Below are 1,672 nucleotides of genomic sequence, written 5' to 3' on the forward strand. Positions count from 1 at the left end.
TCCCAAATAAGGAAGGGGCATGGGCTGTGAGCTGGGACATGCCTGTGATCACGTCCAGCACAGATGTCTTGGTTAAAGTACAAGGACATAGAATATATTACATGCCTGTGAGCATGTCTAGCATAAAGCTAGTCTTTAAAAGAAACTATTATTTCTAACCCTTATGATTTATTTTTAACAAGAAGGGAAACTTTGAAGAGGAACTTTTACTTTCTACACACTTCATCCCAAATTTGACCCTGGCTCGTGTTTAGAGGGGGGCGGTCAGCACAACCTGCCTTGCGGTTTGACTTAAAGATGAAGCGGGAGTAGACCCGGTGTGGGGGCATCCCGGGCTCTGGTACACAGTAGGCGCTCAGTGGGTGTGCTCTGGCCTGGTGACGTCTCTGGACACTGAGGTGGAGGGACCCTGTACAGCAGTCTGTCATAGGGAATTGCCCAGGTACAGGATGGCAAAGCTGACAGATAGATGTACCAGTCTCCCTGCCTGCCAGGCAGCTCTCAGCCTGCAGACATCGCCAATCTCTAGCGCCTGAGCAGGGAGCAGGGACTGGTCAGCAAAGCCATGCGCAAGGAAGGCTGGTGATGTGTGCAAGGTGGGCAGGCAGCCAGGCCTCGGTGCCCGGGGAGGAAAGGCATACAGGGAGCCTGGGATTGGCATTGGGTAAGGTGCTGACACCCTGGAAATGAGTGGAGGATGGCAGAGCCTCAGACATTAGGAGTACTGCCTCCCTCTTCACCGAGCCAAGGAGATGGGGAAAGGAGGGGAAAGAGAGGAATGTATGCACTTCTTCATTGATAACTGGGGAAATGGAGGCAAAGGGGGCTGTGGGCGGGCCTCAGGACCTTTAGGAACCCCACCAGTCTGGCTTGGTTGGTAGCTGCATGTGTGCAGACAGCGTTAGTGCATACCACAAATGCACAGAGGGACAGGCTGAGTTGCATTCTCTCCCTCCTGTCCTGGAGTTGTAGCCAGGGCTCACATCCCTCGGTCCCCGGACTCCTTTCCCTCTAGGTTGCTTTCCCTCCCAGTTGCCCGCCTCTGGTATTTGTTGCTACTTACAGAATCTTTAGGACCAAAGGGCTGAGCGTGGGGCCAAGAATCTGGTGAGCAACAAGTCACTGGCTCTGCCCCTTCCACTTTTGACAGGGTGTACCCGGGGTGGGGAGACGGTGATCCTAGACCCGCTGTCACCTGTGGGGCTGTTCAGTGCATGAGGGTAAAGAACGAGTTGGTCCCACTGCTCATAGTTTATCCCTGCCACTTGGCACAGGGCATAGCACAAAGCAAGCCCTCGAGTAATGCTTGTTGGATACATGAATATACCACAGCCTAGGTCTGCATCTTGGAGAGAAGATTTTGGAATGTGCTAGATCCAACAATTCTCTGAGACAGGAAAACCCCTGACCATCAGCAGGATATTCTGACATTGGTTCTGACCCATCAGCAGGATATTCTGACGTTGGTTCTGACAGCTTCCTCTGGCCCTGCTAGGCAGCTGAGGGGAAGAGAGCAATGAAGACATCTTTTTTTTTTTTTTTTTGAGACAGAGTCTCGCTCTGTCGCCCAGGCTGGAGTGCAGTGGCCCAATCTCGGCTCACTGAAAGCTCCACCTCCCGGGTTCAGGCCATTCTCCTGCCTCAGCCTCCCAAGTAGCTGGGACTACAGGTG

At 53.1% G+C, this 1,672-nt stretch overlaps 1 annotated feature.

Moving 5' to 3' along the window:
• Positions 1–201: a silencer, noted in NCBI's record as "peak7340 fragment used in MPRA reporter construct". NCBI's record gives its function as "represses an SCP1 promoter by STARR-seq MPRAs in K562 erythroleukemia cells {active_cell/tissue: K562}" and the evidence as "EXISTENCE:reporter gene assay evidence [ECO:0000049][PMID:32103011]".

This window comes from Homo sapiens, chromosome 9, assembly GCF_000001405.40.
Source record: "Homo sapiens chromosome 9, GRCh38.p14 Primary Assembly".
Taxonomy (NCBI): domain Eukaryota; kingdom Metazoa; phylum Chordata; class Mammalia; order Primates; family Hominidae; genus Homo; species Homo sapiens.